The sequence below is a fragment of the Homo sapiens genome, chromosome 11 (assembly GCF_000001405.40).
Source record: "Homo sapiens chromosome 11, GRCh38.p14 Primary Assembly".
Lineage (NCBI taxonomy): Eukaryota > Metazoa > Chordata > Mammalia > Primates > Hominidae > Homo > Homo sapiens.
This window is the reverse complement of record NC_000011.10, coordinates 114771707-114794879: the sequence shown is the minus strand read 5'-3', so window position 1 is coordinate 114794879 and position 23173 is coordinate 114771707. Positions and strand designations below refer to the sequence as shown.

Genomic DNA, 23173 nt, shown 5'->3' with positions numbered 1-23173 from the left:
TTACTCCTCAGGATGGGGTTGGGGGGGGCGGGGGTGCAATTCATCCATCCCCTTGCCTGAAGGAAGACTATGATTATGTAAACTAAGAAGGCAGAAGACTTGGGAAGAATAGAACACAAAGATCCCCTAATTTAAAGATTCCCCATGAGTGGGAATTTCCTATTCTATGATAGGAACATTTGGAGGTCAAATTCCTCCCTGCAGTAGTAGCTGCATACAGAACAGACAGATTGCACCTACAGCACAGCCTTTACTGTGGTCCCTGCAGCCAAACTTCTATGTTTCATCTGATACCTGTTTATTTTTCAAGCCTGGTTCTCCAGCTTGGATTCTGCAAGTCTGATAGCTTTGCAATAAAGATAAGATAGTCTAGTTGGTTTCTATTGCTTCTTGCCTGGTGTGGTAGGTACACATTCACACCCAGTATACTGAGCACTCAGGACATGCCACAAGATGATCTGGAAGTGAAGGGGCACCTAATTCATCATGATTGGGCCAACTAAATGTCCCCAGAGGCCACACTAAGCTGAATCTTGAAAAATATTATTGCAATATGAACAAGCAGGGGGAAGGGTGCTTCATCTAGAATGAGAGCCAAGAAGTGAAAGAGAATATGGTCTGATGAAGCAACTGAAAAGTTTTTGGTAACTGCTGAGCATAGAGTTCACAGGAGAAGTGGCTGGAAATGAGGCTGGGGAAGTGGACAGGAAGTGTGAACTTTGTTCTGAAGATGATGGAGAGCCGACGGGAGAGACTCAGCAGGAAGTGCTAAATTAGATTTGTGCTTTGTCTGGCACATGTATGGGGGGATCACGGGAAGGAGCTGAGGCAGGAGACAGGCAGGTATCTCAGAGCAATAATCCCAACAGGAAATGATGAGACTATGTGTAGGACTATAGCACTTGCCAGGTAAAGTGGGATTCAGGCAAAGGTAAAGCCAAAGAAACCGATTCTGATTGAAAGAGACAGTAAATTGCAATGGTGATAGAAATTAGCATAGGTGCCCTGCAGAGAAATATTGGGTCTGTGAAGGTGAGATATATGAAAGGCTGAGCTGAACGAAATTCTCTTAAAATAACATCCTTCTCTTTCAGTGATTCTGTGTTCACATATGTATATATCCTTCAGTTCTCTCTTCAAAATTTCCCCATCTCCATGCTCATCACCATCTGGCCTTTCGCTCCTCATTTCCCCAACCCATACAAAGACAGTCTGTGCTTTACCTTCAACATGCAACCTGCAATTTATCCCTGCAGTTTACTACCCAATCTTCTCTGCTCTGCTCTTCCCAAAGCTTCCCATCGCAGAAGGCCAGGTTAAGCCACAAGCCTTTCACAAAGCCTTCCCTGATGGCTCCAGACAACCCTCCCTCTCGCTGGGTTTTCTATCATATCTACAGTCAGTTCCAAACAATAAATAGCTTACTAAATATACTGCCTTACTGTTTTCTTACCCAAGAAAATGACAGATTTTTAACTTGTGGACAAGGGCCTTGTCTTCTATGTCTTTTGTTTAGTCTGTGAAATTTTGCCTGGGAGAGAAAAAAAAAGTGGTAGTAACACAGAAAATAGAGTAGAAAATATAATTTGCATTTACAATACAATGATTGGGGCCCTATCCAAGGTACCACAACTGAAGGAAAATTGAAGCAATCAGCTATCGTCTAAAGCAGACATAGGAGGAAAAATTGAACTTAGAGATGTTTTGCAAATTTCAAGAGAAACATGCATGATGTGGTATTTAGAGAACTGTCATGTGATGGATGGATGTGGACCTGTTCTGTATCACTAGTGTGTAAAACCAGGGCAATGGATAAAAATTATAAGAGGGTTTTCAGCTCAACATAAAGAGGTGCTTTTTAAAATCACAGCTGTGCAAAGGTGAAGCAGGATATGCTAAGAGGTTGTAAGTTCCTTTTTACCGCAGACATTCAAGCAGAAGCTTTAGAACCAATAGTAAGTGGTGTCAATGCAGGGTAGTGGTTAGAGCATAGACTTTGTTTTCTAAGCTATAAAATGAGAATAATAATATCTACCTCACAGAACTGATGTCAGGACTAAATGAGATAACATACGTAAAGTGTTTAGCAGAATCAATTAATGGCAGCTCTTGTTATTTTGAAATAATTGATATAAGAGGATTTGCACACCAAATGGGGGAAGCATCAAGTTAGATGTTTTTGAAGCCTCTCCCAAATCCAACTGTCTATAATTGTAAGATAATGAGTACTTACTGGTGAACTTGGATTTATAGAAATGGTATATCATCTGTGGATGGCTGGTATCACATGGCTTCTACTTCCCTTGAGGATTACAGTGATCATTTTGGCCCCAGAGCAGCAGTAAGAGAAGAATCACCAGAAAGACACTAGATCTAGAAGAGCTGATTTGTAGCTGGGAGCAGAGAGTTATTAAAAGATAAATACAGGCAGGAAATTAGAAATTAAGTTTACCAAGTCAAAAATGTAAAGTCAGGAATAGATGGGGGGTCAGAGTCCAGACTAGTAAGACACAGATTAAAGGGCATATAGAAATAAGAGTTTGCAGGAGGCCAAATGTAAAACCCAAGGAGACAGCTCTGATGGAGTCATCAGCAATCATTATGATAAAAATTTTAATACGGGGCAAGAACTGCTTCACCAAGGGCTGAATGACACATTCCCTGGTGGAACGGGGCTCTGAGTACCCCTTTTTAAATCTGCCAAAGGCACCCCTATGGGGAGGGGGCCCATGGAACTTTACAAAGCCATTATATCCCAATCCTGTACCTGCATATGGAGCTGCTCAGCACGTATCTTAGTTATTTCTTTTTTTCTTTTTTTTGAGACGGAGTCTCACTCAGTCGCCCAGCCTGGAGTGCAGTGGTGCGATCTCGGCTCACTGCAAGCTCCGCCTCCCGGGTTCATGACATTCTCCTGCCTCAGCCTCCCGAGTAGCTGTGACTACAGGCGCCCACCACCATGCCCGGCTAATTTTTTGTATTTTGTTTAGTAGAGACAGGGTTTCACCGTGTTAGCCAGATGGTCTCGATCTCCTGACCTCGTGATCCGCCCGCCTCGGCCTCCCAAAGTGCTGGGATTACAGGCGTGAGCCACCGCGCCTGACATCTTTACTTCTTCATCCCAGGCTGCTGGCACCAAGTGTGAATTTCTTCTCCCACTGCTGTTTCTCCAGTTCACCCTTGGTGGCAACTCATCTGCTGTTCCCATCTTTGCTTCAATTTTACTTTCACCCTACCTTATCCATTCTTTCATTCATACTAGCTTTGGTAACGTGCTTCCTCTCCCCAGGGTCTGATCTTGACTCAATCTCTGCTTTTGTTTCTCCACTGCCATATCAGCACTGATATCTTGAAAGGGCATGACCTGCTATTCTGCCTGAATTACAACTACCAGTCCAGAGGCACAGAGATCTCTGTACGCACCCTGTGACTAGGTAAGGGGCCAGGAGACAACTGTGGTGGAATACCACTTCTACTGGCTTTCCATAACTCCTGGGTGGCCCGGCTTCCTCATGGCAGCTTCCCCAGAGGGGTCTTATTTCAACTAAAAGAATAGTTTGGGCATATACAGAACATGGACCTTTATCTTCCACAACCACCAACAGCAAAGCATTTTAAAGAGTCTGTAAGAACACATGGGAACCCTGTTAATAGCCCAAGGTTCAATTCCACCCTTCTCTCACCCTTTTTTTTTTTTTCAAACGGAATCATTCTGTTGTCAACTTTGGTGAGAGTTAGCTGTGTTTGACTGAAGCAGTAATTTGACAAGAGGTGTCTTCGCTGTCACTCAAATTGTGGAATAGAGCTCTTAGCATATGCAGGGTTTGTTCTCTCTGCCACCTCCATCTCCTCTTTGTGAAACTCTCTCTGCCTTCCCCTTGGAGATACGCCTCCTTAAAGATTAAGAGGAAAAAAAAAAACACCCAATCCTAGAGGTCAGGAGGGCATGTGCTTAAATCTACAATGAGTTGGTGTCTAAGATTCAAGATGAGTTTTAATCCCTGGGGGACTCTTCAGGGACAGGGAGGGGGAAGATATCATGACATAGGGAGCAGCATGGGTTCTGTTGGCAAAGGCTCCTTCCTTTTTTCATAAATCAACCCCAATGATTTAATTCCTCATAGAGGATGATGAATGAAAAGCTTCGAGACCTGGCACAAAGCTGGGCTTGGTGCAGGACCAAGATTGCTAAAATGTCTGCCTGACTTGTCCCCATGGTTGAGGAGCAGGGAGGACTCCTGGGTGCACTTCTGGCCCTGACTGCTGCTCAGGCCACCAGAGACTATGGACAGACATGTCAAATTCCAGACATTCTGGGAAATTGGGGATAGCGAAAATCTGGGTTTTGTGCTGATAAAACCTCGTGATTGGGAGTATGAGTTTTAGAATCAGAGGCACCTGGAATTGTAGCTTGTAATCTTCAGCAAGGTGTGTAACTTCTCCTTCTATAAAATGGGGATGAAATACCTATCTTAGAGTGCTAAGTAAATGATAGCTGTTATTATGAGTATAGTGTGCGTCTTCCCAAATGTACCTTTGGCTTCTTACAGAAGGACAACTGTAGGGTCTGACATTAGGGTTTATTTAGGAACTATGCTAACCAGAGAGAGAAACAGGAAATGGAAAGAGAATGTGTCTATTGACCCTTGTTTGGAATTGTAATCCTTTCTGGGGTCTTGTCCTCCTTATTGCTTAGCTGAGCCCTATTAGGCCCTATACTCCTGAGTCAAGATGAGCTTTAATGCCAGAGGGGGCTCTTCAGAGACAGCGAGGGGCAAGATATCTTGACACAGGGAGCAGCAGGGCTTATTGTAAGTGCGTAAGTCCCCTGGTGGGGAAGTTGAGGAGCTTGTGCATATCTGACTCAGAGAAGTCCTTGAGTTCATTGTAGGGAATTCCCTGCATGGCCTTCTCTGAATTCGTCCATCAGCAAACATTTGAGTACAGCAGCATGCCTGCCAGGTGGCTCCGGGCAGAGGAATACAAAGATGAACAAGATGCAACCCCTGCTTTTGAGGGCTTGACCCAGAGGGGAGTAATGAAACAGATGAGTAAATTAATAGCAAGGATGTCATGTGAGGAGAGTAATAATGGAGATAAGTGGAGCGAGTGTGTCATGGGAAAAAGGAGAGGGATGCCTGGCTTTACCAAGGCCGCCTCAAGAGGCCGGCCCTTCAGGGTTCACTGAAGCCCCCCAGATGTGAAGCCTTTCTGAGCCAACTAACCCTCTTTTCCCATCCCACTGCCCCATTGTACCACCCATCTCAGCATTTAAATATTTTGTTTCTCTGATGTTTATTTTTTATCTCCTGGACCATCAGTAAATGAGGATTAAACTGAATGAGATGATGTTTATAAAGTGCCTGGTACAAAGCTGTGTTCAATAAATGCTGGTTTTCTTTTATTCCTTTCCTCTGTAAGGGTAGTGTCTATGCTAGAGAGTGGGTTGAAGCATAGGAAATAACCATTTTTGTAGGTGTAAAATAGTTGAATATTACTAATTTCATATGGTTTGAGTTCATATTTTTATACATGTGCTTTATATATCTTTTTAATGGACAAATAAAAAGTTATATATAGTTATGGTATAAACATGGTATTTCAATATACGTATACCAAGGGAGTACTAAATGGAATGGCTAAACCAAGCTAATTAACATATGCATTACCTCACATAGCTATTTTTTGTGGTAAGAAAACTTAAAATCTACTCTCTTAGCAATCTTCAAGTATACAATGTATTGTTGTTAACCATAGTCACCATGATGTACAATAGATCTTTTGAACTTATTTTTCCTGTCTGTCAAGTTAATATTTTGTTCATTGACCCAGAGTTGATTCATGGCTTAATTGATTTAGCATAGAAGAAAGCATTTCTTATTGGCAAAGACTGAGGGAAAATGAGAGGCCTTGCTCTGTCTATTTGGCATGATTTTGAACACCACCTACTTGCTAGGCACTTTACAAGGAACCAGTGGTGTAAAAATAGAAGGTCCCTGCCCTCAAGGAGATGACAATCGAAGGAAGTGACAGGCAAGAAAAGTTCTAATTTAATATGATGATTCGTGATGCAGAAATCCACACAATGTACTATGGAAACACAAGAAGGGGTGATAAAGAGCTCACCCTAAAGAAGGTCAGGCAAAGCTTCACAGACAATGGACCTGAACCAGAGCCTGCAGAGGCATCTTTCCCAAAGCCAGGCATTCCAGGCAAAGGGAAGAACAAAGTCAGAGGGACACGAGAGGCAGCACATGGCAGTTTCCGGGGACCAGTGGGCCAGTGTCTCCAAAACAAATATGAAATTGGGAATGCAAGTATCCTCATCCATATCTTTAGGAAGAAACCCATGCCTCTAACTGGAGAGATACTGGTGGTCCTTCTTGCTGGGAATATGAACAGGATTTTCTCTGGGGGCCGTCTCCCCAGAGATGATGTTCGGCTGCTCCTTTGGGCCACAGGCGTGTGCCCTTCCTCCAGCAGTGTCTGCAATGGTCCCAGGCCCATGTCCAGCCTGAGGCTCCACTTGGCTCCTCTGACCATGGCCCTGCTTGTCAGTGACTGGAATTTCTCAGCCTTCCACATGGCTGGTCCTCTCCTCTACCCTCCCATTAACTGCAAGCAATAAGCTCAGCTCTGCCACAAAAGGGGCTGTTTCTTTGTCCTTCTTCTCATGGCCGTGTTGAAAGGCTGATGCTGGGGGCAGCAGCTCTATTGATGTTATTGATGCTTCCATGGGTGGGGGAGGTAGAGGACTGATGTTGTTCTGTTAGACATGTGTGCGGGATAAATTGCTCGATACTCCAGCTCACCTCCCACTTCCAAGGTCTTTATTATTATACAAGAGCCTAGCCCCTTACTCTGAATGTCCTGGGGCTGGACCACATCCCTCCAGACTGGATTGAGGCTGCAGATCCTCCAGGGGGTGACAGGAAAGTCACTGATGCAGGAGGAAATGCAGAAAGCGGGAAAGAGCCGAGTCCCAAAGAAAAGAGGTCCCAGGCAACCAATGAACAATATTCAGTAGTCAAATGGGGGATGGACACGGGCAGAGGGATGGGCAGAGTTGAGGAGAGGCTTGAGAAAGGAGGCAAGTCTTCTATTTTGCTGACTCTTGGAATTTTTATAAAGACTAGGATTCAGAGGGGTGGATAGATAGATAGATACATACATAGTAGCATCTGTATTTCCCTAATTAAACTTTTTTTCAAAGGATTTTTAGAAATAATTGGTCAGTCTAATGCTTTTCAGTCCCTCCTCTCTCCAACTCCCCAGCCCAGATGAATATTTCAGCAGGGTGCCTGCACTCTCAGTAAATATACTGGGATCAATTGTTTGCTATAGCCCCTGCTCAAATCCGTCTTAGACGGTAATATTTTAAAGATGATTGGATCTTAGAATTGTAAGAGGTCCCTTGTGTCATGACTTTGCTGGCATTATCAGCTCAGCCATTGTCTTACCAAGCAATCTCCTACTGAAACGTGATGCTCCCCCGTTCCCACCCCACGCCACAGAGGAGGGAACTGCACCAGGCACCCACGGAGGAGGCTCACTTAAGAATCAAGTGATGGGGAAGAATGAGGATGCCCCTCCCAGCCTGCCTGCATGAGCTTGGGAGGGTGGGAAGGTGTCCTTGCAGCACCAAGGGAGGCTCCCGAGCTTTTTTCCCCACTTTCCCTTTCTTTTTCACTTTTTTTTTGTGTGTGTGCGCCTGTTGACAGTGTCCTCTCTCAACTTGATAAACTTGTCAGAGGGAGCTCCGGGAAAGTGTGACACAGAGGTTGGAGTGATTGCTGAGTATGCAGGGAGAAGAGGCCAGGGAGCTGCGGGCGGCAGCAGGACATTAGCCTGGGGACAGGCAGATGTTCTGGGGTGTTTGTGGCTCTCAGGCAATATGCACCACTCCCACAGTGCAGTCTCACCAGACCAGGGACCTGGAGGAGGGAAGTCATGGACCAGAGTGCAATGTGGGTGAATGGCACCAGCCAAGCAGTGTGTGAGGCTGTATGTGTGCACCACTGTACGGTACTGTGAACCATGCGTGGGGCTTGCATGGGGGGGCTCTTCCCAACACAGATCACCTGTGGCTGTCTGTGTGGGGCAGCTGGATGTGAGGGGTAGGTGTGGGTTGAAGGGCAGACTGCATTAGCCCTCTCAGGATGAGGCAAACTAGAAACAATGATATGGGTGTTTCTTCTGAACCCTTCTACCACTTTCTCCCTAAAAGATATTTTTCGGATGCCCACCTGGAATCCACAATAATTCCTAATCATGGAAGTTTAAAAATTATCCAAAAAGTATTCTTTGAGTTTAAAGGGTAATTTAGCAACCTGTACTCCTCAGCCTGACACAGTGCCTTATATGTCACTGGCATTCTACTGATATTAATTGAACAAATGTCAGGTCAGCAAACAAATATCCGGTCAGTGAGTGAAACTCAGAACCTCATTTTTGCCAGACCTAATTTGCTGGAGTGTGGGGATAATCCATATTAAGTCATGTGGGGTGGGGCGGGGGGCGGGGGTAGAAAGATCTGAATTTGAATACCAGCTCTTTGAATACCCAATTACTTCTCCTCTCTAATCCTCAGTTTCCTCATCTGTACAATGAGAGATTTGAAAACGCATTACTGAGGACATCGTCCAATAATCTACCTTCCAGATAAAAATACAAACTGCTGCTGCGGGGATCAGCACCGCAATGCAGGGAAAGGGTGTTTGAACATTGCAAAGCTCAGTACAAATTCAGGAGTACCGTCCTGGGCTCCTCAACTAGCATAGGTTCCCTTATTACAGGTTCCTACAGCACCACAACATACATTCACAAGCAGGCCCACCTTCATTATTCTCTCTGGAGGGAAGGACTTGGCACTCTGCCAGTTGAACAGGTGTCTTCTTTTTTTTACACTATCTAATAGTATAATAATCTTCTGTCCCAGTGTCTCTGAGTGATTAGAACACATCTCAGGTGCTGCCTTGAAGAGTCGAGGCCAAGAAATTCACCTCACCTGGGAAGTGCAATAATTGCTTTATGGTGCCCTGCCTAGAGTGTGATATTTATATTATAAAATAGGATTTAGGCCTAAAACTAGGGGAAGTTGTCACAGCTCAGTATTATTGATACAAATGTGAATGACAATACTGACAGCTTAATGTGAAGAGCTCTGGTTGTGTCCAGGTTTCTAAACTGGGAAGGAGGTAAAATTAATCAATTAGGCCAGCGACAATACCCAGAGAGGGAGGGAATTATCCTCTCAATTCATTGGATCACTTTTTGGCCTTCATAGAGACAGAGCAGCACGTTGGAACACAGTGTTGCTAAAGACACACACCATAGACAGGGGGAGGAAACTGCTAATAGAATTAATATATTAATTAACTGAGCCATTGATGAGCTGTACTCCATCAAATAACACGGCAAATAAAAGTAACCCCATTATTATTATTCAGATTACTCATGTTCAGATAATGATAACAATTGAGTTTGAGTTGTCAGCATGGTGTCAAGGAAAGAGCAGGTAGAATCTAGAAGCTTGGGGTCTCATTCCCAGTTTTACATTGAACAGCCTCATGACCTCTGGGCCTCAGTTTCCTCAACTGCAAAATGAGGGGGTTGGACTGGAAGACTTCTAAGGTCTCATCCAGGTTTGACATTCTGAAGTTCAGCATTGAGTGTAATTTCACTGGGCTTTGTTCATGCAGAAGCCACTTCAGGACCCTACAGTGCCTGTGTCGCCATTTTGAACATCAATGGCCTTTGTCTGGGAGAGTGTCAGCTACGGAGAGGCCTGATTAATAGAATACGAGATCACAGGGCAGACTGTTGTTACTTTCTTCTTTTCTGCAGCACGTCTCTCCTTGGGGAGCTAAATAAGACTGGTCAGTTTTGCTTCCTTTTTTATTTTCTGGTTTTTATCTATACCTCCAGCAGAGATTTTGGTTTTTCATTTACTTTCACTGCAGGTTTCAATCTTCCCCACCCCCAAAACAATATCCTCTACTCTGTTGCACGAAATAAAAGCTTCAAATTGGCTCTGCCTCCTTAAGCTTTTGGAAACTTTTTAATGTGCAGGTCTACAAAAACCTAAATTTGGGGCCTGCACTATTTGGCGGTATCTCTTTGCCTCAGAGGAATCTTCTGGCTTTTCTCCATTTCAAAGCACCTGGGTCCACACAAATGCTCTCGAAGAGAGAGCTTTTTTTCCCCCCTTAGCAAAAATTCAGGTCTGTCACCAGGAAAGAAGAGGTTTTTCTGTGGAAATCTTCCTCATGCTGGTTATAAAGCCACTCACATCTCAGTATGAACTCTGCTAGCTTGCTCCGTTGTCTTTGTGAGTGAGACGCGAAATCCACACAAAGGTATAAAGAGCTGATCCATATAAAGATTGCTCCCTGGATTTCCATTGGGCAGCAGCTTTCTGATGACTGCATCTTTGCCGCAGACAGCTGTGCAATTGAGACAACAGCAGGACTCCAGATGTGCTGGGACTTGCTAGGCAACAGACTTAGAAGTTTGGCCAAATCAGCCCCAGATAATGACCAGGAAAGGAAAAAAAAATGCAGGGCTGGTCCAAAGTCTTTATGTTATTTGGGAGCTGCGGGATTAGCCCAGGACAGAGATGGAGCAAGTTGCAATGGAAGGTCTCCTTCTCATAGAATGTGTGAGGTCTTTTCTTTGGCTACAAGAAACTTGTGGGACAGTGGAGCTGAGAGAACCTATCTACAGAGGTAGCATAGCATAGTAGTTAGAAGCCAGGGCTCATGAGTCTAGCCAATCTGTTTGAACCTTGGCCCTGCCTCTGACTAGCTGTGTGACCTTGAGGCTACTTTGTAGGGTTTATGCTTACAAAGCAATTAGAACATGCCTGGCACACTTAATCATAGCTCCCTCTCCTTTTACAAGGAGGCATTTAACAACTAGCTAGATAAAGATCAAACAGTTAGTAGCTAATAAAGTTTAGTCTAAAACCCAGTTCTCCCACCTCCCAGCAGAGCATTCTTTCCACTACACCAGCATCTCCAAATTCACCTGATTATAAGAATCACTTGGTTGAGCAACTCTTGAATGGAGTCAGGAATCTGAGTACTAACCAAATACTCCATGTGCAAAAGATGAATTTGAGAAAGACCCTCACAACACCACAGTGCCTAAGATGAAATTTCTCAAAGAAAGGAGCTCATAAATTCATTACGCATCTCCTCTATACACACAGAAGATGGAAAAACAAACCATTAATCTCAAGGAGTAAAGAGGACCCCAGAAAGAAAATCTAAACAGTCTTTCTTGCTAATTGTCTTTGAGCACACAAAGTAACCAACTTTTCACAGAACTTCCAGAGGAGGAAAAAAATTTGAGTCACTATGTGTGATCTCTAATAGCAATGGTTGAGAAGGGTTGTAATGGCTCTTTCGGTCATATTTTAGTGAGATCAGTCGGCTCTGGGGTGATCTGGCTTTTCCTGGGTCTTTGCTAGAAATTAGGGAGCTATTTGGGGCTCATACATGTCAGGCATTCAAAGGCGAACACAGAAAAAGGGCCCCTCAGGTGGGAACAGTAGAGAAGCAGATGGTAGAAAATGTTCTTGGTGTCTCTTGAACATTAACGCCCTGCAAACTTTGTTTTAACTTTAGGTTTTTATGGTTACTTTGGGCAACCACAAAGGATAACAGAACTGTGGTAGCAGCTATGCTGGGAGAGAAGCACGTGTCCTAAAGCATTTTAGGTACAAAGGCAGGTGGCTTCAGATCGACTGCAGGTTACGAAATGGAAAAGCCCATTGTCGTTTTGGACTTTGCAGGGAGCCGGAGTAAATAATACTTCTCATATAGCTTTAGCCCCGTGCTATCTTAATTGCAATCTCTGGTGAGATTTCGAGTTATGCGTTTTTAACAAGCAAACCATAAAATAAGGTTTAATCTCCCCAGAGCCCTGGAGTTAATTTATCTGTCCACAGGCTAAGATCTTTTTAAAGGTTAAGAATGCTTGGGTTTTCTTTCTAGGTCTCTGGGTTGGCTGGAACGCCTGCAGGTATCTCCTATGGCTGGCGGCTGGAATCTGGCTTTCATCAGTGCTAAAGACCCAGCCCTTAGGAATCTCTGCAATAAGAATCAGGTGTTGGATTCAAGAACCATACCTCGTCCTGATGAAGAGAAATTTATCTTCCTTAGGACCCTGTCTGTGGCAGAAAATACACGTGACTTATCCTCAGAAGAAAAGGGACTGAGTCTTTGCTCTACAACTAGGAACTGTGGGATTTGGGAAAAACTACTTATCTGAGCTTCAGTTTCCTTGTCTGTAAAGTGGGCATAACAAAATCTCTCCTGGAGTCTTCATAAGTGTTCTGTGAACATTAAATGGTATGTGGATGGCTTTTATAAAAGCATAAGGCACAAAATGGTTGTTAAACAACTTATTTACTTACCTGTTCTTCCAGGTGGAGTTTGGTGCCTTTTCCAAGAAGATTTCCTGATGAAGCCATGCCTTGGAGTAAGTTCCCAGTATTCACAGCACATCTAAAAGCCAATCCTGCCTCTCAGCTGGGCAGCACAGATTCATTGCCAAGACAGAAAGAGCACAGGTTATCACTCAGGCCTTGGGCCTAGCTGCCTTGCGGAATAGATACACGGTCAGCTCTCTGTACCTGTGGGTTTGGTATCCATGGATTCAACCAATTGCAGATCAAAAATATTTTTTAAAATGTGTCTATACTGAACCTGTACAGACTTTTTCTTGCCATTATTCCCAAAACATTAGAGGATAACAGCTATTTACATAGCATTTACATTGTATTAGGTATTAGAAGTAATCTAGAGATGATTTAAAGTGTACAAGAAGAACATAAACATCCATGGATTTTGATATCTGTGGGAGGTCCTGGAACCAATCCACCACGGATACCGAGGGACGACTGCACATATGTCATTTCTACTGTTCAGTTCAGCAGGGCCACTTGCCCTGGTCAGAGCACCTTTCCCACCCTTGCTAATTACAGGAGGATTTGATGACTACTCCAGATGAACCAGTTGAGGGTCTACTGTCATCCATCCTGCATAGCTGTACCCCATGGGAACAAAATAAGGGGAGTCTGTTTGTACTCCTGGTGGAGGTGAAGGAGGAAGGGCTCCAAAAAATGGGCTGACATGGACCATTATTTATAGACCACCCTACAGACTTCCACTACCCAGAATTCATGGCCCCCCTAGACTGGCATTTCCACCTTCAAGTCCTGTTACAACCCTCCCATCTCGCCTTCCTCCCCAATGCACTGTGCCCTTGCCCCTGGTCATATTTTCTATCCTCTGCTTTGATGATTCATCTTGCTGGATGGCCTTTCCCTTTTATCTCCCACCAACTCATTTTACCACTACCTGTGAGATCTCAAACATAAGGCCACCTCTTTCAGGAAGCCTTCCCAGATTAATCCCATCCCTGTCTAAATCCCATCACCCTTTTCCTGCAAATCCTTTGGCATTGGTATATTTAATGGATTTATCATGATAATCCCTCATCAAAGTCAGCATGGCCAGGGATGAGGATGGTGCTTACTTAACCAAGGGTCCTTGGGAAAAGCAATTCTGTCTTCTGTGCCCTGCTCCCTTGGAGCCTAGCTGAACTTACCCACAGGGAAGCTGCAGATGAGTAGAGACCAGGTTCAGGAGGTAGGGGAAGCTAGTGCCATGGCTCAGAATTTCTCCCAAGCCCCACATTAAAGTGTGTTTACATGTTCCTAGCCTTCTCAGTGGCAAGCCATGTGGCAGGGATAAAGGATAAGGGAGTATGTGTCAAAAGGGAACAGAATTATTTCTCTAAAATATAGTACTAATCCCATCACTCCATACCTCGTAAGTCTCCCCTGGCTTCCCATGATACAAAAAAGAAAAGCCACACTCCTCAGCCTGATAGGCAAGCCTCACGCCGCTGCACTCCCTCACTGCAATGCCTCACCCCTCATCACTCTCCTCCCCCAACGCCACATCCCCTGGATCGCCCTTAGGCTCAAACAATACCTTCCTAAAGTACCCAAACACACTAGTACTGCCACTCCTCAGCACCTTTCTTCTGTGGCTCCTTCTGTCTGGAACTTCTTCTTTTGCCATCTTTCCACCTGCCCAAATGTAATCCAGGCAGCTGAAATCATACCTCCATAAGGTTTTTATCAGATCGCCCTGAGTCAGAATCAAGTTTGCCTTCCTGAGCCTCTTACAGCATGTTGTTTTTTTCTTCTCTTACATTTACAGGATGCAACCACCTTCTACTAGAGTTACCAGTACAGAGGGCCACTTCCCTGCTGGGCTGGAACTCTGCCTTCATCCTGCCACCTTGTTTAATGCCTGGCATTCAGGAATCACTGAACCAATATGGAGCAGAATTAAAGTTACTAAAGGAAGCTGCAGGACATCAGGAAAACCCCACGACCTTCCTAACTCTTCTACCACATCCTCCCCTTCCTGTGCCTCTCCTCAACCCAGCATCAGCACCCATTTCCTGCAGGCACAGCTCCTCCTCTTTGTCCTCATCCTCGTGGTGTTTGCAGGCCACACAGGCAGCCGAGGCCTCCTGTTGGGGACCTGCTCCTGCCTCCTTGGCCCAAGACAGGAGCCCAGCAGCTGCTGAAGCTGGACCCATGAAAGGGAAACCTGTGGTCCATCTCCACCTCCCTCATGTGCCTCCTGAAGAGACTCGGCCTCTCCCATTTGTTTTTGTCAGTGGCTTTGAAGCTATTTGGGAGACACTTTGAGATAGCCTGGGAAACAGCAATAATCCAATTGAAGCATCTGACACTCTGGACTGGTGGCCTCTTGACGGGGAGGCAGTGGACACATGGGGGTTGTTGCTGGTTTCGTCTGTGATATGAATTTTACTGGCTGTCGATATCTACAGGGAAAACACTCGCGGTGAGATTCACAGATAAAAACCAGTGGCCTCTGCTTCCTCCCTGGAGTGTTTTCACGAGAAATTGGTTTCTGGGCAGGGAGGGGAGAAGACTCCTTCTTTTTCGTCACTCACCTCGAGGGAATTTGGAGGGGTTCGAGACAGGAAAAGGTGAAGGGAGGGGAAGTAAGTCGGAGGAATCACCGGCGTGTGAAAAGTCTCAAATATCTCCCTGAGCGAGCGAGTCCTTTCAGGGTGAGGGACTGAGCCCTCCTTCCTGTCTTGATTTTTCCTTCTGCTGTTACCCTCAGTCCATTTTCTCACTTTCTCTGTTTACTCTGGAGGTCATTGTCACTGTCCCATCTCTGGGCATCTCAGGGGGTCCTCTGAGCCCAAACAAAGCCAGAAACTGTCCCTTGGAAATCAGAGCAGAAGTCCCCGCAACATCAAAGCTCACAGCAAGAACTTGCTGACAGAGCTGAGCTGGCACCCGGGGATGGGATGCTGCGGCTCTTCCGATCTCCCCGCTCCAAGTGGCTCCTGGCACCCACTACCCCATTCCCATTTCGGCCTCCCTCGCCCACCATCCAGCCACCCCAGTCAACCCCTTCCCAGGTGCACCTGAGTCATAGCATCGGCTCAAGCCCCCCACACCGCCCCAGGCCAGGGCCCCAGCAGGCTCTCCCCACACCCCACTCCAGGCTGACTTGACTGTGTGATAGCTGGAAAAAGTTAAATGCTCTTCCCTTCATTATCAGAAAGAGTTTTATTCTGACTGAAGTGAACAATATGAAGAGACACTACAGAGCTCTGGCGAAGGAAGAAAAGTTTCTTATATCCACAGAGCCACACTTCAAAGTGTCCTGTGAAAAGGTTCCACTTTAATTAGGGGGAGGAAATTGCCATGTAACTTAATTAATATCAAAAACATTTTTTCCTTCAATACAAGAAAGAAAGATGGCTACAGAGAGAGGGGGAAAGGAACTGACAGTGAGTGTGGACAGGCCTGCTCGTGGCCAGCATAATGATAAACTTTGTTTCTAATTACTCCAAATATGTCCTAGGTTCAATTAAGAACTTTAAAGCCACAACGGGTTCTTTGTCACAATGGAGGTCTTCCTCCTCCATCCCTGATGCACTAGCCTTTATACACAATAAAGTGAAGGCCTGAGATGGTTATAGTTCAGGAGGGAACACAGAAACCCTGTTTTATTTCAATTATCTAGGAAGCATTTGCAGGAAGTGGTTTGGGAGAGTGGGATCATCAGCTCCAAGTGCCTTTGATGGACATGCTCCTTCCTCCAGGGACCCCGACCCTGTCAAGTCACCTTCCTCCCTCCCAGCTGCTCTGGGGGAGACTCCTGGGCATTTGCCTGGTTTCCCTTGTCTCTTCACAGTCAAGCCACCAGATCTCTCCTACCTCCAAATTATCTCTCAAATCTGTCCTCTTCTCTACTGCCACCATACAGAGTCACTTCTCATCTCCCCCAAAGGATTTACAAATAAGCTCCTCACTGGTCTTTTCATTTTCCTTCTTGCCCACTGGAGCCTAGTCTTCAGCCAACAGCCAAAATGACCTTTTACAAGACATAACATCATGCCATTCCTCTGCTCAAAAACCTCTGATGCTGTCTCGTCATTCTTGGGAAGAAAACTTAAAGATTCCTTAGCAAGGACTACCAAGACCCTGCATGATTTTGACCCTGTCTAACTCTCTCATCCTTGTTCTTGACCACTAGCCAGAGAGTCAAGGTCTTTGTCATCGTGTTCCTTCTGTTTGGGACACTCTTCTAGACCTGCTTCACCCACTAGATCTCAGCTGAAATCACTCCTATTTAACTTTTTTGAGTCCTGACTTAAACATTGTTTACTCTGGGAAGGATTATGAGACACCATTTCCCCTGCCTCCATCTAAGTTAAATCCTCATATTACATACTCCCATAGAATACTACACTTCTTTGAAACACACATCAGAATTGTAATCAGTTAACTGTGTGGCCAAATACTGGTTTGATATTTTTCTTTGCCCCTGGACTGTAAGCCAGGTAAAAGCAGAGACCATGTCTGTTTTGTCACAGTTATTTGCTCAGTTGCTCACTCAGAATCACGGCAAACAGTGTTCTAATCTCCACTGGATCATTTCAATCACATAGCAAGCCAATGAGGTGCACCATCTTATTAAACCCATTTCACAGATATAGAATTTGAAGCACAGAGGTCAGATACTCTCAAAGCCACACAGGTAGCAGATGGCAGTCTTGCTCCTGAGTCCTGCTTTTCATCACTGTACTATGCTCACACGGGAAGAACCACAATACACAGTTGTTGAAGAAGGAAGGAAGGAAGCCAGGAAAATGGATCTCGAATAGTTGGAGGAAAACTGATCAGAAAATACTAGGCATGACTCTATGGACCCAGCCCTCCAACTCATGGAAATGCCTCATCCTGCCCAATACAATCTGTCTTCAACACTCCCAGGAAAGACTCCAGCTTCATGACTCTTACTAGGAAAGAGCACAACCTGAGAATGTGCCCTGAGAATGTTAAGATGTAGGTTAAGCTCAGCAGTTTTTATCTCCTCATTCTTTGCTCCCAACCAGGCTTCTAGTTCACCCCATTTCCTTAAACATGAGAATATACAATAAATGCATAGAGTAGGGCTACAGTCCCCAAATCATGTAACAAGGTATCCTGGGTCACCATAGTGAACTCACATTCCTGTAGTATATGTTAATTTTTGAAGAGAGACACAAAGCTACTCAACTTCCACTAAACATTGAGCAAATTACTAACTCAAAGTAGTTTACAGTTTCAACATTAGATCTCACGATTTCCTGTCTGTTAGGTCATATCTTTTTGAAGGTGTGTTTTCTGTGGTTGCTGCGATAAGAAGCAAGTCCTTCATAAAAATCATTGTGAAACAAAGTGTTGGTGTCCAACATTTGAGAAGTTGTGCAGTGCCCAACAGGTGCACACAGCCCATTCGTACATAATTATTGTTTAGGAATAAAATAAAAATGTTTTTTCTTTCAGTTCATAATGTTTTCAAATGGCTATTAAGTTATTGGGACATTAATACTTATAAAGTTGTTTGACCCTAGCTATTTGAAAAAATGCAGCTGTTAGTTCTTTTGTCATGAGGGTACCATGAAAAACTACTGATAGACTAACAATGCTCTGAACCAAACAAGTGTGGGAATCTCTGGGGTAGGGTGTCAGAGGTATGCATAATCGGGGCAGACATACTAATATGATAGATATATTAGATAGACTCCCACTTAAACAGGATCACCTTGATAGGATGTAATTTTCCCCTAAGGTGATGTCATCTTGACAGATTACTTTACAATGAGTTAAGGAAAAAGGGAACACCCAGGCCCACCCAGTGCCAAACCCCACTGGGCTCCCAGCACGAAGGCTTCTCCCAGATGTGCGCACACATCCAACTGCAGACAGCCTGTCGCAGCCCAGCCCCGAGCCTTGAAGGACAGGCTTGTAATTGACAGTATCTCCGCTGCCCTCGGAGAGCACTGCCTCGAGCCAGAGGTCTCTCCACAACAGCAAAGAAAAGCTTCTTAACTTCCTGCGCTTCACGCAAGGCAAGGCCGTCTGTTATCAGCCGCAGATGGGAGCCTCAGCAGCCTCCCACTCTGGAGAGCTCGGTGGAAACAGGCTTGGCAGGTGGACAAAACGGACAAGATGACAAGTGCTGTTAAATAGCAACCCGCAGGTTGTTGTAACACATGCCTGGGACCTTGCTCCTCGTGGGCTCTCCTGTGCCCGGACACGGGGGCCGCTGGATCAGAGGATGCAGCACTCCCCATAATCCCTGAGGCTGCTGTGCAGCCACCCTCATCCTCCCCAGGCCTCTGCAGACACAGGAGCACTTCTGGCCCTCCCAAGCTGTCTCCTAGCAGATCCTCCCTTTTAATGCCCAGGTCCTCCCATGGAGAGAGATAAAGACCCACAGGAGAGGTGTTTGGGTCATAGCAGCTGATGCCTTGTGAGTGGCACTGTGCCATCCTTGCAGTAATGAATTGCATTCTCACTGTGGCCAGACTGGATTAGTTCCCACAGGAACAGATTCATTCCCCTGAGAGTGGCTGGGTTTTTTTGTTTTTTTTTTTCGTTTTTTTGTTTTTTCTTTTCTTCCAGAAGGCTGCTGGAGTTTTACCTCTTAGCAAGTATCTACCACCCTTTGACCTTCTTTGCCATGTTATGAGGCAGTGCAAAAGCCCTGGCCAGAAGTCAGGGCCATGACCTTGAACTTCCCAGCCTTCAGAGCCCTCTATTAAATAAGCCTTTTATCTGTATAAATTAAAGAGGGGAAAACCCCCACAGGAAGGGAGGCTTTCAGTTTGTTTCAGATGCTTGCGTTCACTCACTCATTCCCACGTGGGGGACACCTACATGCCAGGCGCTATTCACCTTTCTCATATCCTTTTTCTCAAGAACTCAGTGGAATGTGCTCCCTGTGCCCTGTGCACCCTGAAAGGTAATAAATGGAATGAGATGAGTGGTCAGGAGCCCTTTGGAGATGCAAGATCCTCCCTCCTACCACTCAACAGGCTGATGAGTTGAGGTTTCTAATTTCTAGAAAAGGTGTTGTCCTCTTGCCCCCCCTAACAACTGCTTTCTCCAGTCCAGGAGAGCTTAACAAAAGCTATTCAGGGCCTTATTCTCTCCTCGTCCCACCTTGAAGGCCCTGGGGTCTGTCTAGCAGAGGGAGGCAAACCCTGGCCAGCCTCTCACCCTGTGCTGCCTAAAAGCGTACGGCCTAGATCTGCCTCCTGCCTGAAGGCGGACCTGGAGGAAGGAAGACAGCGACAAGAGGTGCAGGTAGCTTCCCACTTAGGTGCACCCAGCGTCCCCTATTTGGGAGGCTTGCAGCTTGGCAGTCCCCCAGAGCGGACCCACTGCCAGAAGTATGTCGCCAGCTTCTTTCATCCAAGCCAGAGATGTCTGTCATATCGTCATCCCCCCAGCTGTAGGACTTACTATAATTTCATACAGTTCTGTAGACAGATATTGAAAAGGCATCTGGAAAAATTGATAGCATATCAAGGCAAAGATTTCAGAAAAGCCATTTTTTAAATGTCCAGCCATAGGTACCAGCGCACAGTCCTCATAGACACAGTCAAGGTCCCTGAAGGCCTGTTTCCTGATGTTAGAGCGCCCCCTTTGGAGATGATGCTCCTACTGCAACTGGCAGCGCAGGCTTCTCTCCACGCCTTGCAGGAGCTCGGGCTTGAGTCAAGAAGGGAAAAAGCAAGAGATGGGGAAGGAAAAAGGGAAAGGGCGAAAGGGGGAAGGAGAAATGAGGCTGACCTCCAGGGAGCACCTTTCAGTGGGACAAGGACCACGCCACAACACTCGGCATGCGCAGTCTCATTACGTCCTCATACACAAAATGAGCCTCCAGCCAGTTTATTAATGAAGCCATGGAGAATGTAAGGAGCCCTCCTCCGAAGGACACACAAGGAGTGGCTGCCAGGGTTACCGTCCCGGCGGATAACCAAATACGCTGTATGCAGTTTGGTTCAGGAAAATCATGACTAGCAGCCGCCTCCTTCACATCTTGCTTCACAACGGCCTTTTTCAGATTCTCCACTGAAATCACAATGAAAAGAAACAACTGTGTCCGAAGGACTAAACAAGAAGTTTTGCAGGACTTTAGATGGAAATGGAGAGTACACCTGGAGTAACAATAGTCAAGGGCAGGTTTTACAAATGTTCTTTTTCTCTGCATTTCCATGTTGTGCCTTCTCTCTGCCCTTAGTGATAGTGAACAGGTGGCAGCTGCCACAGCGTGCAAACAGCCCCAGACTGAAACTCAGAAACATGGAACATGCTCTGGTACAATAGTGCTGGGGCTTCTGCAGGGTTTGGTCAGTAAGGAGAGAAACTGCTGAGCTTCACGTTTTGATCAGTTTCCGGGAAGCAGTTTCAAGAGCAGTAGAGGCATTACCTGCCTCACTTTGGTAGGCCAACTGAGGGCCGTAGAGAGAGAGATGGGTGAGGAAATTAGCTCTCATGATTATGGAGGCTGAGAAGTCATGCGATCTGCCGTCTTAAGCTGGAGACCCAGGAAAGTTGATGATGTAGTCCAGACGAAACCCAAAGGCCTGAGAATCAGGAGAGTGAATGGTGTAAGTTTCAGTCTGAGGATAGGAGCAGACAAGAGATGTCTAAACTCAGTCAGGCAGAGAGAAGAAATTCTCCCTTCTTCCACCTTTTGTTCTACTTAGGCCCTCAACAGATAGGATAATCCTCACCCCCACTGGGGAAGGCAATCTACTTTACTCAGTCCCGATTCAAATGCTAATCTTATCTGTAAACAATCCCACAGACACACCCAGAAATAATGTTTAGTCAAATGTCTGGGTACCCTGTGTCCTAGTCAAGCTGACACATAAAATTAACCATCATACCAGTGGATGACATGAAGAGGAACAAAGAACTAGTCCAAAGTGCAGAGAGAAATCCAGGGTCCTGGGGTGAGAAGCCAAGCCCAGAAGTGGGGGGCAAGTATTGCAGACAGGAACACAAGAAAAGAAAGAAGGTCATTCTTTAGAAGGATCTTGAATGCAAACTTTGTTGAGTCAAGGGCAAAGGGGCGGGGGGTTCTTATCTGGAAGCATCTTAAAGACACAGCTGTTTGAGTTGGTCTGGAGATGGAGAGACCCAGAGGAAGAGCTATGAGTGCCCAGAATGGGGTGGGGGGGGGGTGGGAGTGGGTTGTGTAGGGCATGGGCTTGCCCCTGACTGAACCCAAGGCTCTGTCTTGGAGTCCATTGAAGGAGCCTAGGATGAGAACAGAGGAAGTTGTACACTAAAGAATCCTCTTTGGTAGGAGCATGCTTCCCTGTGGGCCTGTGTTTGAGTGGAAGCCTGGCTCCCCTTAAGGAACAGACATCAGGGTTAGTGCACTGAGATCATCTCACCTGTTCCTCTGCCTTCATACCCCAGTGCCTTCAAATCCTCTCAACCACACAAGGATGTATTCTACTTTGAGTAGTAGAGAAGGCTGAAAAGAATATTTTCATGCATGCCCTCCAAAAATAAGATCCTGGAATGCCAGGAGAAAAGGGATGAAAACAAGGTCTGGTTCAATAATGCTCTGATGAAGAGAGACAGACTATGCTGAGACGATTTCCAGGGGATGAGCCTGAAGCCTGCCTCTGTCCTCAGAGTGCTGAACCCCGCTTTCTGTCTGATGACTGTCTCCATGAGCCAAGCACATCAGTGGGGCAGGGTAGAAAAGATGGGCCTGTTTTCAGAGGGACAAAACGTAGGGGTACTTCTTCCAAAGGACCTTGCTGGGGAGTCAGATGTGGTGTTGGTGTCCATGGCGTTTCCCTCTTCTCTGCTTGATTCAGTGAGCTGGGTTGGCCTGAATAGTGTCCTAATAAAGCTGAGGTCACTATTTGAGTCCTACATGGGCAAATTAACCCTTCAAAGAAGCTAGCACTGTTCCAAAACCCTAGACACCCAGAACATCACATATTACATGTAAGATATTGAATATTAAGCAGTATTATTGAAAACGTTGCCTATCACCCAATGTCTCCTAAATGAAGTGCCACATGGGAAGTTATTCTCAGGATTTAGAATCAGAACTTTTTTTTTTAATCCCCTAAGAATAGGGGATAGTTTCCTTTTTTGCTTTAGCTACTAGGAAGCTCCAATCAGAGTCTGTACTAATTACCACGAATGTGTTAATTAATCTTTTGGATTAATATATTGGTTAACTCCCTTTTTCTCCATTCCCAACTTCCCTTTTTGTTTTCTACTTAGTTATCTTATCTTAGATATCCTTTGTTTAAGCTGTTCACGCTATCTTTGGAAAGAGAAATATTTCTACAAGGGACAAGAGACTACTTAATGGACATTTACGACCACAGCTGGAAAAGCCACACAAAGCGTCCGTTTTCATGGCAGGAGCCCACATTACATCAACACTGTCTTCGAAGATAAAGGACAGTCTTCTGTGTTTCTGTCTCTTCCCCTGCTACCACCCTCACAAGGACCAAGTGTCAAGGGAATTCTTTAATCTCCTCTACTTTAATTGGTGAGAGAAAGTGGTGCCACTCATCAGTGCTTTAATTTGGAGGGATTTAATTAGATCTAATGACCAGATAAATGGAGAACTCTGAATAAGGACCTTTGGGGACTGAATGGTGTGAAGAGGATTATGTTGTTATATTTCCCTGCATTCGTTGCCATGGCTAAGGCCACAATGGAAAGAGAAGCAGAGCGCTAACAAGAGTCAGAAATGGATGCCATTGAGAGGGAGATAGG

At 45.4% G+C, this 23173-nt stretch overlaps 1 protein-coding gene and 1 long non-coding RNA gene across 4 annotated transcripts in view; one reads left to right on the top strand and one right to left on the bottom strand.

Annotated features, from left to right (window-relative positions):
• The window catches only part of LOC105369506 (uncharacterized), a 95796-nt gene extending 77887 nt beyond the window's left edge, over window positions 1-17909 (top strand). Inside the window, exons 2-3 of the long non-coding RNA XR_948042.3 lie at window positions 12434-12486; window positions 14238-17909. This is a non-coding gene — a long non-coding RNA (uncharacterized LOC105369506). The remainder of the gene's footprint in view (window positions 1-12433; window positions 12487-14237) is intronic.
• NXPE2 (neurexophilin and PC-esterase domain family member 2) overlaps window positions 1-23173 on the bottom strand; it is a 349427-nt gene that overhangs the window by 18823 nt on the left and 307431 nt on the right. The gene's annotated exons all lie outside the window — the stretch shown is intronic.